This window comes from Homo sapiens, chromosome 11 (assembly GCF_000001405.40).
Source record: "Homo sapiens chromosome 11, GRCh38.p14 Primary Assembly".
Lineage (NCBI taxonomy): Eukaryota > Metazoa > Chordata > Mammalia > Primates > Hominidae > Homo > Homo sapiens.
This window is the reverse complement of record NC_000011.10, coordinates 391,448-405,287: the sequence shown is the minus strand read 5'-3', so window position 1 is coordinate 405,287 and position 13,840 is coordinate 391,448. Positions and strand designations below refer to the sequence as shown.

The window sequence follows — 13,840 nt, the reverse complement described above, 5'->3', positions numbered from 1 at the left end:
GTGTGAGAGCCCCTGGTCCAGGCAACTCCAGGCCCAGGGTGGGCGGCGGAGGAGTTGGGTTCATTTGCCGCATGAGTGTAGCCCACGAGGCAGCCACCCTGTTCCTACTCCAGTCACCCCTCTACTCTCGAGGCCCCCAGCTCTGCTCCGTCTGTGCCTGTGGTGCACCCGCTGTCCACCCTGTCCCCTCTCGGCCCTGAGGTGCCAGCTGTCCCTCTGCTGGGCTCTCCATGTCCTATGTCCTCTGATCTTGGGAGGCTTGTGTGTGAGCCCAGGGGGTGGGTGTCCTCAGGGGCAGGGGGTGCCTGGGGACACCTTGAGTCCCAGGATCATGCTGCCAGCCACAGGGTCGGGCCAGCCATGGAAGGACACAGGGCAGTGACTGTTCATGGCCATCTTTATTCCCAGTGCTGGCTATCCCAAGATACTGCCAGGCCACAGCCAACCCCCACCTCTGCCAATGTGACTGGGTCACCACCCCATACACCAGAGCAGCCTTGAGCCCTGCCCCACCCCCTGCCCTGCGGAAGCCAAGTCCCCAGCTATAAGACCCTGCCCCTCCTGGTGGCCCAGGACCCTCAAAGATGCACACAGGGGCCCCAGCGAGGGGCCCCTCCGTCATTAGCCTTCTCCTCCAGGCTGGGCTGCCAAGCAGCCTGGAGCTGAGTCTGTCCCTTGGACGCTGGGCCACGTCACCTTCTCCTCCAGAAGGCTTCACCTATGGGCCCAGGAAGTCCTCCTTCCGATAGCCCTTCTACAGTGGAGAGAGGCCCAAGGTCAGGGTGCATGTCTGCCCATGTGGCCCTCTGCCCGCTGTCCCTCCTGCAGTGTGCTGGGTGTGGCCCGGACCCTTCCTCTCTGGGTCCCTGGTCTCCATCCTCCCATGGGCCTCTTCACTGACCCTCCCCCGGCGTCCCATGCCCTGCACCCGGGTCCCTGCTTGCCCTGGGCTCGGGAAACGTACCGCCCGGAAGTCACGGTGGAGCTTGTTGTACTGCCACAGGTTGGCCAGGAGGCTGGATGCTGCCCGGGAGGACTTCTCACTGTCGGGGCTGAGGGTGGAGGGCAGTCAGGAGGGGACACACAGCCAGAAAGCAGGGTGGACTGGGAGGACCCCTGACCAGGCTGCTGCACGGCTGGGTCGGCCCCTACCTGTCCCGCTTCTTCTTGATGAAGATGAGCTTTCGGAGTCCGTCAAAATACAGCAGGTCTCGGGCAGCGATGGGGCTGGCCACCACCAGGTTGTTGAGCACAGCTATGATGTTGACCAGCACCTCGGCTGGGGGCGACTTCTCACCCACGCTGCCCGGCAGCTTCTCGATCAGGTGGCTCACCACCTTCGTGGCTGTGGGAGGCCGGGGGTCAGTCTGCACCCCTACTCCTGGCCACCTGGGCACCTGGGGTCCCCTGCCTCCCCCAGGGAGCTGGACTGGCCCCAGTGGTCTGAAGCCCACACTTAAAGACAAAATTGACATGTGGGTCCAGCAGGGCAGGGACGAGGGGCTGCCCGACTCACACATCTCGTCCTTGTTCCTAGCGTTCCGAGACAGGTTTCGGATGAGGCCAGTCAGTGAGCGCAGCTGGTGGTGGTCGGCGGTCCTGACACGGTCTAGCAGGGGGTTCAGAATACGCTCCTGCTCCAGGGCCAGGCGGCTCAGCACCCCCGCCCACTGTGGGGAGGGAGGGTGTGAGCCGTGACCCGGAGGCCTCAGACCCTCACCTGAGGGGGTCCTGCCACAATGGGGTCGCTGCATCCTCTCGCCACCCTCAGGGGGGCCTCTGCTTCTGCCTTTGCCCCCCAGCCGGGGGGAATCAGCCGCAGCCCGGATCAGGTGCCTCCCTTCAAACCCAGGGCAGGACTTCCATCCTCCCAAGGCCCAAGGCCTGCGCCACCGGGACGCTGACCTCCGAGGCTCCGCGGACCCTGGGCGTCCCCTTCCTCCTCCCCTCCCTCTCCCTCCTCTGTCCCCCCCTCAACCGCATGAACCCCTGGGACCCCCTCGGGTCTGGGTTGGGTGCCCCACCCTGCGGTCGCCTGCCGTGATGTTCTGCAGCGCCCCGGCGGCCGCCTCCGTCGTGTGCCGGTTGAGCTCGCAGCGCTGCAGCAGCCGGTTGTACAGCCCCACGATCTGGGGGCTCCACAGCCACTCGAGGCCCTTGGGGTCCTTGGACACCTCCGCGAAGGTGAGCGCATCGGCGGCGAGGGGCAGCTGCGCAGGGCGGGGAGGAGTCGGCGGGGTCGGGGTGAGCGGGTCGGGGTGAGCGGGTCGGGGTGAGCGGGTCGGGTGTGAGTGGGGCGGGGGTGAGCGGGGTCCGGGGTGAGCGGGGCGGGGGTGAGCGGGGCCGGGGGTCGGGGGTGAGCGGGGTCCGGGGTGAGCGGGGCGGGGGTGAGCGGGGTCCGGGGTGAGCGGGGTCGGGGTGAGCGGGTCCCGGGGTGAGCGGGGCGGGGGTGAGCGGGGCGGGGGTGAGCGGGGCCGGGGGTGAGCGGGGCCGGGGGTCGGGGGTGAGCGGGGTCGGGGTGAGCGGGGCCGGGGGTGAGCGGGGCCCGGGGTGAGCGGGGCAGGGGTGAGCGGGGCGGGGGTGAGCGGGGTCGGGGTGAGCGGGTCGGGGGTGAGCGGGGCCGGGGGTCGGGGGTGAGCGGGGTCGGGGTGAGCGGGTCGGGGGTGAGCGGGGCCGGGGGTCGGGGGTGAGCGGGGTCGGGGTGAGCGGGGCCGGGGGTGAGCGGGGCCGGGGGTCGGGGGTGAGCGGGGTCGGGGTGAGCGGGGCCGGGGTCAGTGGAGCCGGGGGTGAGCGGGGCCGGGGGTCGGGGGTGAGCGGGGTCCGGGGTGAGCGGGGCCGGGGTCAGTGGAGCCGGGGGTGAGCGGGGCCGGGGGTCGGGGGTGAGCGGGGTCCGGGGTGAGCGGGGCCGGGGTCAGTGGAGCCGGGGGTGAGCGGGGCCGGGGGTCGGGGGTGAGCGGGGCCGGGGGTCGGGGGTGAGCGGGGTCCGGGGTGAGCGGGGCCGGGGTCAGTGGAGCCGGGGGTGAGCGGGGCCGGGGGTCGGGGGTGAGCGGGGTCCGGGGTGAGCGGGGCCGGGGTCAGTGGAGCCGGGGGTGAGCGGGGCCGGGGGTCTGGGGTGAGCGGGGTCGGGGTGAGCGGGGCCGGGGTCAGTGGAGCCGGGGGTGAGCGGGGCCGGGGGTCGGGGGTGAGCGGGGTCCGGGGTGAGCGGGGCCGGGGTCAGTGGAGCCGGGGGTGAGCGGGGCCGGGGGTCGGGGGTGAGCGGGGTCCGGGGTGAGCGGGGCCGGGGTCAGTGGAGCCGGGGGTGAGCGGGGCCGGGGGTCGGGGGTGAGCGGGGCCGGGGGTCGGGGGTGAGCGGGGTCCGGGGTGAGCGGGGCCGGGGTCAGTGGAGCCGGGGGTGAGCGGGGCCGGGGGTCGGGGGTGAGCGGGGTCCGGGGTGAGCGGGGCCGGGGTCAGTGGAGCCGGGGGTGAGCGGGGCCGGGGGTCGGGGGTGAGCGGGGCCGGGGGTCGGGGGTGAGCGGGGCGGGGGTGAGCGGGGCGGGGGTGAGCGGGGTCGGGGGTGAGCGGGGTCGGGGGTGAGCGGGGCCGGGGGTGAGCGGGGCCGGGGGTGAGCGGGGCGGGGGTGAGCGGGGCGGGTGTGAGCGGGGCCGGGTGTGAGCGGGGCCGGGTGTGAGCGGGGCCGGGTGTGAGCGGGGCGGGTGTGAGCGGGGCCGGGTGTGAGCGGGGCCGGGGGTGAGCGGGCCGGGGGTGAGCGGGGCGGGTGTGAGCGGGGCGGGTGTGAACGGGGCCGGGGGTGAGCGGGGCCGGGGGTGAGCGGGGCGGGTGTGAGCGGGGCGGGTGTGAGCGGGGCGGGTGTGAGCGGGCCGGGTGTGAGCGGGGCCGGGTGTGAGCGGGGCGGGTGTGAGCGGGGCCGGGGGTGAGCGGGGCGGGTGTGAGCGGGGCCGGGTGTGAGCGGGGCCGGGTGTGAGCGGGCCGGGGGTGAGCGGGGCGGGTGTGAGCGGGCCGGGGGTGAGCGGGGCGGGTGTGAGCGGGGCGGGTGTGAACGGGGCCGGGTGTGAGCGGGGCCGGGGGTGAGCGGGGCGGGTGTGAGCGGGCCGGGTGTGAGCGGGGCCGGGTGTGAGCGGGGCCGGGTGTGAGCGGGGCAGGTGTGAGCGGGGCCGGGGGTGAGCGGGGCGGGTGTGAGCGGGGCCGGGTGTGAGCGGGGCCGGGTGTGAGCGGGCCGGGGGTGAGCGGGGCGGGGGTGAGCGGGGCCGGGTGTGAGCGGGGCGGGTGTGAGCGGGGTCCGGGGTGAGCGGGGTCCGGGGTGAGCGGGGCGGGGGTGAGCGGGGCGGGTGTGAGCGGGGCCGGGGGTGAGCGGGGCGGGGGTGAGCGGGGTCCGGGGTGAGCGGGGCGGGGGTGAGCGGGGCGGGGGTGAGCGGGGCGGGTGTGAGCGGGGTCGGGGGTGAGCGGGGCGGGGGTGAGCGGGGTCCGGGGTGAGCGGGGCGGGGTGAGCGGGGCGGGGGTGAGCGGGGCGGGGGTGAGCGGGGCCGGGGTCAGCGGGGCCGGGGTCGCAGCACCCACCCCACGCCCCGCTCAGGCTGGTGCCCACCTCGCGCAGCCGCCGGCTCTGCGGCGTGAAGCAGCCCACGACCTCTCCCGGCGGCGCCCCCGCCAGGTCCCTGCGGCCGCGACCCTCCAGCCGCTGCAGCGCGGACGGCGGCATCTCGTCGTAGAGGCGGTAGGACAGGTTCCGCAGGACGCACACCGCGTTCTCCACGCTCTGCGGGCGGGGGCGCGGGGCAGGGGCGCGGGTCAGAGCGGCGGCCCGGGGGCACGGCCCCTCCTCCACACCGCGCCCCTCACCTTGTCCTCGCATTTGCCCGCGTCCAGGGCGTGGTTGATAGAGGTGACCAGGGCGTCCACCAGCCCGTGGCACTCCCGCATCTTCTGGCGAGTGGCCTGAGAGGCTGAGCTGAGGTTCCTGGGGACCGAGGTGGATCAGAGCCCCCCAGGGACCCCGCATCCCGGGCCTTGCCCCAACCCATCGTGGGCCCTCGCACGCCCATCCCCAGCGCGAGGCGTGCGGTGTGTGGGCTGCGAACGCCAGGCCAGGCGGAGTCCCCACAGTGACCCGCGCCTGCAATCCCCACCCCGCTGCCCGAGGCTGGCGCACCTGAGGAAGCCGGTGGCGTTGTAGAAGATCTCTGCCTCCGAGGCGTTCTGCTGGATGAGGGGGGGACCCCCAGCCCCCGACAGGGGGCTCAACACCAGGTCTGTGAGCTGCTCCAGCGTGTCTCTGGCCAGGCGGTCCTTCAGGTGGTCGCTGGATGAAAGGTTCCACAGGATCCCTGGAGGACGGGGGAGGCTGCTATCAGCGTCTGCCCTCCAACCCCCTCCGCGTTTCTGGGGATGGTGTGAAGAGGTCCCGCCTCTCCCCAGGGGCTGGCCTGGTGTTCTGTGCCTCACCCACGAGCCCCACTGGGGAGACCCTGGGGTGGCATTTGAGGTGATAGAGCTGGGACCAAGCAAGAGGGGACAAGATGTGGGGGTGGGGTGGTGAGCAGGCCTGGCAGTGCAGGCGGCTCCAAGGAGACAAAACCACAGGACAGGGTGGCCGGGGGTCCAGGAAAGAGGCGGGCAGTGGAGGCCCAAGTAGAAACACGGCCGGCAAAAGGTACAAAGGGACGGAGGGGAACCGAATGAGGTGGAGGGGTCAGAACGGAGGAGAGAGGACAGGCAGAGGAGGGACAGGAGGAGGGGGACAGGCAGAAAAGGGGGACAGGTGGAGGGGGGGACAGGTGGGGGATAGGCAGAGGGGGCAGGTGGAGGAGGGGGGCCAGGTGGGGGGGACACAGAGGGAGGACAGGAGGAGTAGGGGACAGGCAGAGGGGGCAGGTGGAGGAGGGGGCAGGTGGAGGAGTGGGGCAGATGGCGGGCAGGTGGGGGGGTAAGGCAGAGGGGGGGAGGAGGAGTAGGGGGGCAGGTGGCAGAGGGGGCAGGTGGAGAAGGGGGGCAGATGGTGGGCAGGTGGAGGGGGGCAGGTGGGGAGGAAGGCAGGGGGGATAGGCAGAGGGGCGCAGGTGGAGGAAGGACAGGTGGAGGAGGGGACAGGCAGCACCTGTGACATTTTTGCGAAGCTCATCATCCTGCTCCCGCAGTGTCCGCAGCAGCTCGAAGATCCCGTTCTCCTCCACCAGGGCCAGCTTGTTGTCAGCGTTGTCGTAGATGAGGTTGCGCATGGCACCTGTGGCATGGCGCTGCACTTCCTGGTTGGCGTGGTTGAAGAGCTTCACCAGCCTAGGCACGGCCTGAAGGCTGCGGGCCTGCGGGCACAGGCATATGGGGGTGCACAGACGCATGTGGATGGATGCAGACTATGCACCTGTGTGCAGCTGTGTCCAGGTGCGTAGATGTAGATATGCAGGGGATGCAGCCGTATAGGGAGGTGACGGAGGTGTGTGCGGCGGTAGGGAGGTGACGGAGGTGTGTGCGGGGGTACGGAGGTGACGCAGGTGTGTGCGGGGGTACGGAGGTGACGGAGGTGTGTGCGGGGGTACGGAGGTGACGCAGGTGTGTGCGGGGGTAGGGAGGTGACGCAGGTGTGTGCGGGGGTACGGAGGTGACGCAGGTGTGTGCGGGGGTAGGGAGGTGACGCAGGTGTGTGCGGGGGTAGGGAGGTGACGCAGGTGTGTGCGGGGGTAGGGAGGTGACGCAGGTGTGTGCGGGGGTAGGGAGGTGACGCAGGTGTGTGCGGGGGTACGGAGGTGACGCAGGTGTGTGCGGGGGTACGGAGGTGATGCAGGTGTGTGCGGGGGTAGGGAGGTGACAGAGGTGTGTGCGGGGGTACGGAGGTGACGCAGGTGTGTGCGGGGGTAGGGAGGTGACGCAGGTGTGTGCGGGGGTACGGAGGTGACGCAGGTGTGTGCGGGGGTAGGGAGGTGACGCAGGTGTGTGCGGGGGTACGGAGGTGACGGAGGTGTGTGCAGGGGTACGGAGGTGACGCAGGTGTGTGCGGGGGTAGGGAGGTGACGCAGGTGTGTGCGGGTGTACGGAGGTGATGAGGTATATGTGGGGGTAGGGAGGTGACGCAGGTGTGTGCGGGGGTACGGAGGTGATGAGGTATATGTGGGGGTAGGGAGGTGACGCAGGTATGTGCGGGTGTACGGAGGTGATGAGGTATATGTGGGGGTAGGGAGGTGACACAGGTGTGTGCGGGGGTACGGAGGTGACGGAGGTGTGTGCGGGGGTACGGAGGTGACGCAGGTGTGTGCGGGGGTACGGAGGTGACGCAGGTGTGTGTGGGGGTATGGAGGTGATGCAGGTGTGTGCGGGGGTACGGAGGTGACGGAGGTGTGTGCGGGGGTATGGAGGTGATGAGGTATATGTGGGGGTACGGAGGTGACGCAGGTGTGTGCGGGTGTACGGAGGTGATGAGGTATATGTGGGGGTACGGAGGTGATGCAGGTGATACTGGTGTATCCAAATTGTATCCTTCTGCTCTTCCTCTGCTGAGGGGGCTCCAGACAGAGTGGGGTCTACCCAGTCAGCTTGGGGATCATGAGGGGTGCTCAGTGAGCAGAGGACAGTGGGAGGTGGTGGGGCCCACGAAGGAGGTCACCAGGGGGCAGCGAGTGGGTGGTCGGGGTGGTCACCTGCTTCTTGGCGGCTGCATCGCTGTAGCACTTGTGCTGGATGTAGGCCGCTCCCAGCACCTGCAGGTTGGGGTCTGAAGCCATGAGGTACTTGACTGCTGAGGGCAGGTCAATGTCATCAAAACTGCGGAGCCAGGGGTCAGGGGTCAGGCTAACTTTGGGTTCAGGCTGGGCCCGTGGTAGAAGCCCCCTCCCTGAGCCGGGCCCAGCCGCTCACCCGCTGCTGAGTCTCTGCAGGGTTCGGTGGCTACCGTAGCTGTTGAACCCATGCACGTCCGGCAGGTGGCCCGAGTCAGCCAGGCTGAGGCTGAGGCTGCGCACAGATGGCGCTCGAGCCACTGGCTCCAGGACGGCCCCCGGCACTGCCCCGCCTACCCCGCGGCTCCGGTGGCTGCTCTGGAATCGCTGCAGGGTCCGCACGGCAGGGGCACGGATGGTCCGGCTCGGGGAAACCTCAGTGGCCTCGGGCCAGTCCAGCCCCCCTGCCCGGCTGGAGCTGGAGCTGGCCTGGCGCTCGTACGCAAAGGCCCTGTAGGTGGAGGTGGCCGCGGGCTCCAGCTGCTCAGACACCAGGCTGTAGCGGTCGTCCAGGCCCCCGGGCCCCAGCCGCAGCGAGCGCAGGGAGAGTGTGTCATAGTCGGCCCGGCTCCCAACCCCACCGCGCTCATGGAAGGACACGGGCCTGGTGGGCATGGGAGGGGTGGGCTGGGCACCCCCGTACCCAGCGGCCCCAAAGGCGCTGCCCCCGTTGTGGGCTGAACTCAGCCTCCGACTGCAGCTCAGATCCACGGCGGAGCGGGAGGACCAGGAGGCTGGGCTGTAGGCCGGCTTGGCGATGGGCCGGAAGCCCTGTGGGTCGAGAGGGGGCGGTGAGGGCGTGCCTGGGCTCACCTGTGTCCGGGCCCGCTGCAGAGCCTCCCACTCTCCAGACTGCAGAGCTCAGATCGTCCCCCTCGGGCTGGGCCCATCGCTCACCGAGGTCTTGTCCCCACTCAGGCCCTGAGAGCGAGAGCTGAAGCCAGCCTGCAGGGTGTGGTACTGCCCCCTGGATGTGCCTGTGGAGAGGGACGGTGGTAGCCCAGCTCTGCCACACAGCAAAGCACTGGCCTCCTGCCTCCTCTCCACCACTCCATCGCTATTGGCAACCCTAGGAGCAGCCTCCAATCCAGGGCAGGGAGGCCAGGGGGGCACCAGGGCCAGTGCCTCCCCATTCCTGCCATGGCTTGGTCTCCTCACATGTCAGCCCTGGTGGTCCATCTTCCACAGCCCACCCCCCAGCTGTGCCTCCTCTACCCGAGAGGGCAGATACGCTCACCCACTGACCTCCTGGTCGCCAGGAGGAATGTGCCAGGGCCTCTGACATCAGTTCTCCAATCCTTGCCATGGTACAGTGCCCAGCCTCCTCCAGGAAGCCAGCCTGGCCTGCCCCGGCCCACACTGACTCCTTTTGAGCCCCTCCTGTGCCCAAACCTCATCTGTGCCCGGTCACAGGAGAGTGACACTGTCTCCCTGGACCAGTATGCCCTGTTGCAGTGCCCTGTCCCACCCGGCAGAGCCTGAGGCAGGGGCCACACCCACCCCGTCCAGCCACACACACGCCAAGGGCAGCTGCGTCAGCCCGACTCCACAGTGAGTGGACAGACAGGTGGGTGGGCAGAGGGTGGAGGGCGGAGGGTGGATGGAGGGACAGGCAGGAGGAGGATGGGAGGGCTGCTGTGACTGCTGGAAGGATGGACAGAGTGGTGGATGGAGGGGTGGGACAGCCGTCGACGACAGGGTCCCATGGTTGGATGGTGAGTGGGCAGAGGGATGGACTCGTGGATGGGTGCAGAGAGGATGGGCTGATGGTGGGGGCATGAGAAGGCCCACCAGAGCGACCTGGCTGAGGGGCTCAGGGTGGGGTGCAGGGAAAGGGGCCGTGGCCCTCCCACAACTCTGCCCAGAGCTGGATGCTCTGTGGGGGACACCCCCATGGCAGAGGCCCCAGGTTCACCCTGGTTAATGGGGCTTCTGGGCCGGGGCTATTAACCCTCTGACGCTCGTGAGGCCCAGCCCGGAGTGGGGGCACGCCCCAGCCTGGGGACCTCACCCCCACCCCCCAATTATAATCCACCTCCCTCTAATTGGCAGGGCAGCCAGGGTGGTAATTAACCCTTCCCTCACCGTCCTCCACCCCATGACCCCTGGGCACCCGACTTGGTCACCAGCAAGGCTGAGGCCCCTGGAGGGAGGACCCCACAGTCCAGGCCGCCGGGCCGGCCCCTCCGCTGGGCGACCTTCACTTCCCCCTGGCCAGTGGCTGGAGGCCAGTCCTGGGGAAGGCCCCTCTAAACACCAAGTGGACCATGATGAACTGGCATCTGGGTCCCTGGCATTCTGGGAGGTCCATCTTACTGTCTAACCTTAATCCCTGTTGCTGTAGCCTGGGAAGGAGGAAATGGCGTTCCTAGAACCACTGCCTTCAACTCACAGCGTCTGTGCTCCTGTCACTCACACTCACACGCATGCACACACACTCGCGTGAGTGGGGCCAGGATTCCGCCACAGGTGGGTCTGGCTGGCACCGAGGGGTGCTCCTCCACCTGCTGTTCCCACAGAGAAATCTAGGTCACTCCAGCCGGGCCCTCCCCTCTAATTCCTCAGGGAGCCCCTGGTCCAGACAGGCCTGGCTTTCCTCCAGGACTTCCAGCACCCCCACACCTCTCCCCGCTTTCCCGTTCTGCTCATTCCCGTGAGGTATGGGAGGAGCGTGGGTGTCTGGGTGTCCCTGAGACCCTATGTGAGTCTGTGCTACCGGGGCCAGGCGCGTGCGTGTTCCGGGTTTGCCGACCGAGTGGCCTGGCCCGCCTGCCATGTGCCAACCTTCCCTGTCATCCCCCACAGGGATGGCTCCAGGACTCCAGGCACAGGTGGGGCCTGGCCAGGCTCAGTCTTTGGAGGACCCCGGGGTCCCTGCTTGGACAGGGCAGCCCCACCCATGGCTTCTCCCCACGCCCCTGGGGCGGGGTGTGTGACTCAGTGTGAGGCCTGGTGAGTCAGGAGCCGGCCTCACTGCGGCCTCTGCCCTCACACTATCACGTCCGCCCGCAGCCACCTCTCCCCGCCACCGCCATCCCCGCCGCTGTCCCCACCGCCTACCTCTGGCAGTCTCGGCCTCAGGCTCGGGCTCAGCGGCCCCGTTGTGCCGCGGCTGCTGTCCCAGCTGCAAGAGGCGGGCGCGGACCTGCTCCTGGACGCGGGCTGCCCGCAGCCGCTCGGCCTCCGGCCCCTCGGCGCCCCGGCGGTCCAGCTGCAGGTCAGAGGGCAGCGCCAGGGAGCACACGCCGGCCTCAGGCTGCAGGGCCGACAGCAGGAAGTTACCGTCCTGCATGGCGGCAGGTCCACCGGGCCTGGGCCTGGCGGCCGCCTCCAAACCCAACTATCTTCACGTCCTGTCCCTCGAGGCCCTCTCCCTGAAGTCCCCGCCCAGCCAGCCTCACCCAGAGCCGCCTGAAGACAGACGCCTGCCCAGCCCTGAGCGCAGCTGGGGGCGGGGACACCTGGCCAGGTGGGAGGGAGGGGCCGCCGCCTGCTTAAGGTGGAATTTGGGCGGAAGAACAGGCCCTGCATGGCCCCAGGTCCCAGCCTGGCCTCCCGCCTCCTTTTCTCCCATCCCACAACAGGGCCACGGGGACCTGGGTCCTTCTTGTTCTCAGCCTGTAAAGGCCAGACCGGGCCCTTTGTCGTGGGGCTGGGACAGAGGGGCCCTCTGTGTCCTGAGTGTCAGGGAAGGGCAGGGGGCCTGCGGGGGGCCTATGTCCTGCCACCCCCAGCATGAAGGGGAGGGTGCCCCAGTCCCTGGGGGTCTAGGGCCCTAGGTAGCTCCAAGAATCAGCCAGCCTCCATGGTAGCCCAGCCTTCCTGGTGAGGTGGGGATGAGGCCTAGGAAGGGTTGGCAGGAGACACTGTCGGGAGTCAGGGGTCAGTGCCAGGGATCAGGACAAAGGCTGGAGGGACAGAGCTTTAGGGTCCAACGGGACTCCATGGAGGCCCTGGCCCTGGTCCTTGGAATCCAGCGAGCCCCCTCCGCACCAGGAAGCATGTGGATGGACCGGCCCTCCCCCGAAGCCTGCAGACCCTGGAACTCACCCCCAGGACCCCCTCACCCCCTACAGAGGCCTCCAAAACCCTCTCTGGCTTCTGGGACCCTGGCACCACTGCTCCTGCACCCCAGGCCCTGGGGTGGGAGGCCGTTCCCAGCACATGAGTCAGGGTGCAGGGGGGCGGGGCCGCCCCAGGGGGTTGACTCAGAGGGCCTGCACTCCTGTCAGCGCATGTCAGGCTGGGGCAGGAGCGGGTGTGCAGGGAAGAACCAGGGGTCTGGAAGAGCAGAGGCCTGGATGGAGAGGGAGCGAGGGTGGGGGGCCCCTGGTGGGGGTGGGGTAGTGGGGGGCCCCTGGTGGGGGGGCCCTGGACCAAGCAGGGCTTGTGCCCAGAAGGTCTCCTTCTAGCACCACAGCCAGCAAATGGGCTCTGAGGCCCTCTAGCCTCTGGGACAAGCCCCTGGTAGATGGGGGTGGGGATAAGCCTAGGAGGGCTGGGGGTGGGAGCTGAACATCTATGACAACCTCTGGGCTTCTCTCACGAGCTCATCGGACAGCCTCTGCTTCTCCCTGGACCCTGGACCCTGGCTCTGGGCTCTCCTCCAGGGCAGACCCTTGCCCCCTAGCTCCGTCCCTGGAAGATTTTTGCCTTAATGGGGCTGGGGCAGGGGTCTGGCGTGAGGGCCGGGTCAGGGTTAGGAGGCAGCATTAAGGGTGAGGTCAGTTCTGAGGGGAGGAAGCTGGAGAGTAGGAGTCGGAGGTCAGCGTGGGGGGTTAAAGGGGGAGGGGAAGGTCCACTGAAAGGATGGGTGAGGCCCGGGCTGGGGCCACCAGGTGGGGTCGGGGTGGTGGGGAAGGGGTGGGAGACCTACCCGGCTCGTGGTCCGGATCCCGCCAGCCTCCCAGCTCATCCCAGAGGCCACTGCTGACGGCCGAGGTGTCCAGGACTCCATCCCTGGCCCGGCGCGTGCGGGGCAGCCTCTGCGGCGGGGACAGGACTGTGGGGGCCTCGGAGGGCGGGGTGGGAACGCCCAGCTCATCGGACTGGCTGATTCCCTGGGAGACAGGTTTCGTGTGGAAAAATCCTGGGAGACAAGTTTGTGCGGCGCAGAGCGGGCCTGGAGGTATGTGCCTGGCATGGGCTGGGTCCCGCCCTGCACCCAGGTCCACCCCAGGCCCACCTGGGGCCCTGCAGGGGCCAGGCTGGGCGGCATGAGGGGGAAGCCAGCCTGGAGGGCCTCTGCAGCCCAGTCAGGCCGAAGGGCTCACAAGAGGACTCAGTGAAGGGGCTTCCGTGCGGCTGGAGCTATGATGGGAACGCCGGTACCCCGCGGCCTGCAGGGCCCCCAGGGCCGACTCTGCCCACCTTCCCTCCTCCCCTTGGCAGAGAGGGCTGTGGGTGCCCCCCCCCAGAGCTGCGGCGCCTCCCTGAGGATGCGTGGTGCCCGCCAGGCACAGTTTTGGCAAAGCCAGGAATCTGGGGTGCACCTTCCCTCACTGCGGCCGGGCCAGACGGATGGCGATGCCTGCTAGGCCACCGCTGCAGCTTCCAGCTCCAGGCTCGGCGGAGTCTCATCTGATCCCTGTGACCAGCCCTGAGGGTCGCACTCTCCCTGGAGCCAGCTCCTGACACAGGAGCCCTGGAGGGGGGCTTGACGGTAGGCTTCCTGGAGGAAGCGGTTGTCTGTGGGGCCCGGAATCTGCACGGAGCCTCGGGCCGCTTGGGTGCACAATCAGGTTGAGAGCCTGGAACCTGAGGGCCTCGAAGGGTGAGTGAGCGCTGCTCTTAGATGGGTCCTGGGTGGGGTGTGGCCTGTCAGTCACCTCCCAAGAGGCGGTGGGAGAGGGCGCAGGAGGGCTTCGGGGCATGGTGGGCTCAGCGTGGGGGGCACGGGAGGCGCTCACAGAGAAGGTCGGCTGGGCCCAGGTCGTGGGCAGAGCTGCCAGGTGCGTGCCCGGAGTTGTGGGAGGGCACAGAAGACAAACCTCCAGGGCAGAGCCTGCGTGGGTGGAGGGGGTTGGGGTGGTCGTCTTAAGGAGCAGAAGGGGGAGGATCTGGGGAGAAAGGTGTGAGGACGTTGGAAGCAAAATATAGTCAAAGCCGAATTCAGGAGTGAGCCGGTGCACAGAGAG

The 13,840-nt window shown here is 69.3% G+C and overlaps 1 protein-coding gene across 2 annotated transcripts, besides 2 other annotated features; it reads right to left on the bottom strand.

The window, feature by feature from the left end:
- Positions 1–379: 379 nt before the first annotated feature.
- On the bottom strand, positions 380–12,692 carry PKP3 (plakophilin 3). 2 transcript variants are annotated; one of them, NM_001303029.2, is made up of 14 exons: positions 12,580–12,692; positions 10,764–10,959; positions 8,601–8,680; positions 7,843–8,474; positions 7,626–7,749; positions 6,092–6,296; positions 5,147–5,321; positions 4,837–4,954; positions 4,583–4,753; positions 2,025–2,210; positions 1,517–1,670; positions 1,153–1,345; positions 965–1,052; positions 380–754 (listed from the first exon to the last, which is right to left on the bottom strand). In NM_001303029.2, exons 1-14 carry the CDS (start codon positions 12,658–12,660, stop codon positions 719–721), a joined length of 2,439 nt encoding a protein of 812 aa, NP_001289958.1. In that variant the 5' UTR covers positions 12,661–12,692; the 3' UTR covers positions 380–718. The 2 variants fall into 2 exon arrangements, with proteins under 2 accessions (NP_001289958.1, NP_009114.1); NM_007183.4 differs by lacking the exon at positions 12,580–12,692 and having other exon boundaries at positions 10,764–11,079.
- Positions 8,376–8,905: an enhancer, noted in NCBI's record as "H3K4me1 hESC enhancer chr11:396383-396912 (GRCh37/hg19 assembly coordinates)". NCBI's record gives its function as "activates a minimal SCP1, AML or CMV promoter by ChIP-STARR-seq in naive H9 embryonic stem cells {active_cell/tissue: H9 hESC(naive)}" and the evidence as "EXISTENCE:reporter gene assay evidence [ECO:0000049][PMID:30033119]".
- Positions 10,864–11,626: an enhancer, noted in NCBI's record as "H3K27ac-H3K4me1 hESC enhancer chr11:393662-394424 (GRCh37/hg19 assembly coordinates)". NCBI's record gives its function as "activates a minimal SCP1, AML or CMV promoter by ChIP-STARR-seq in naive H9 embryonic stem cells {active_cell/tissue: H9 hESC(naive)}" and the evidence as "EXISTENCE:reporter gene assay evidence [ECO:0000049][PMID:30033119]".
- Positions 12,693–13,840: the final 1,148 nt, after the last annotated feature.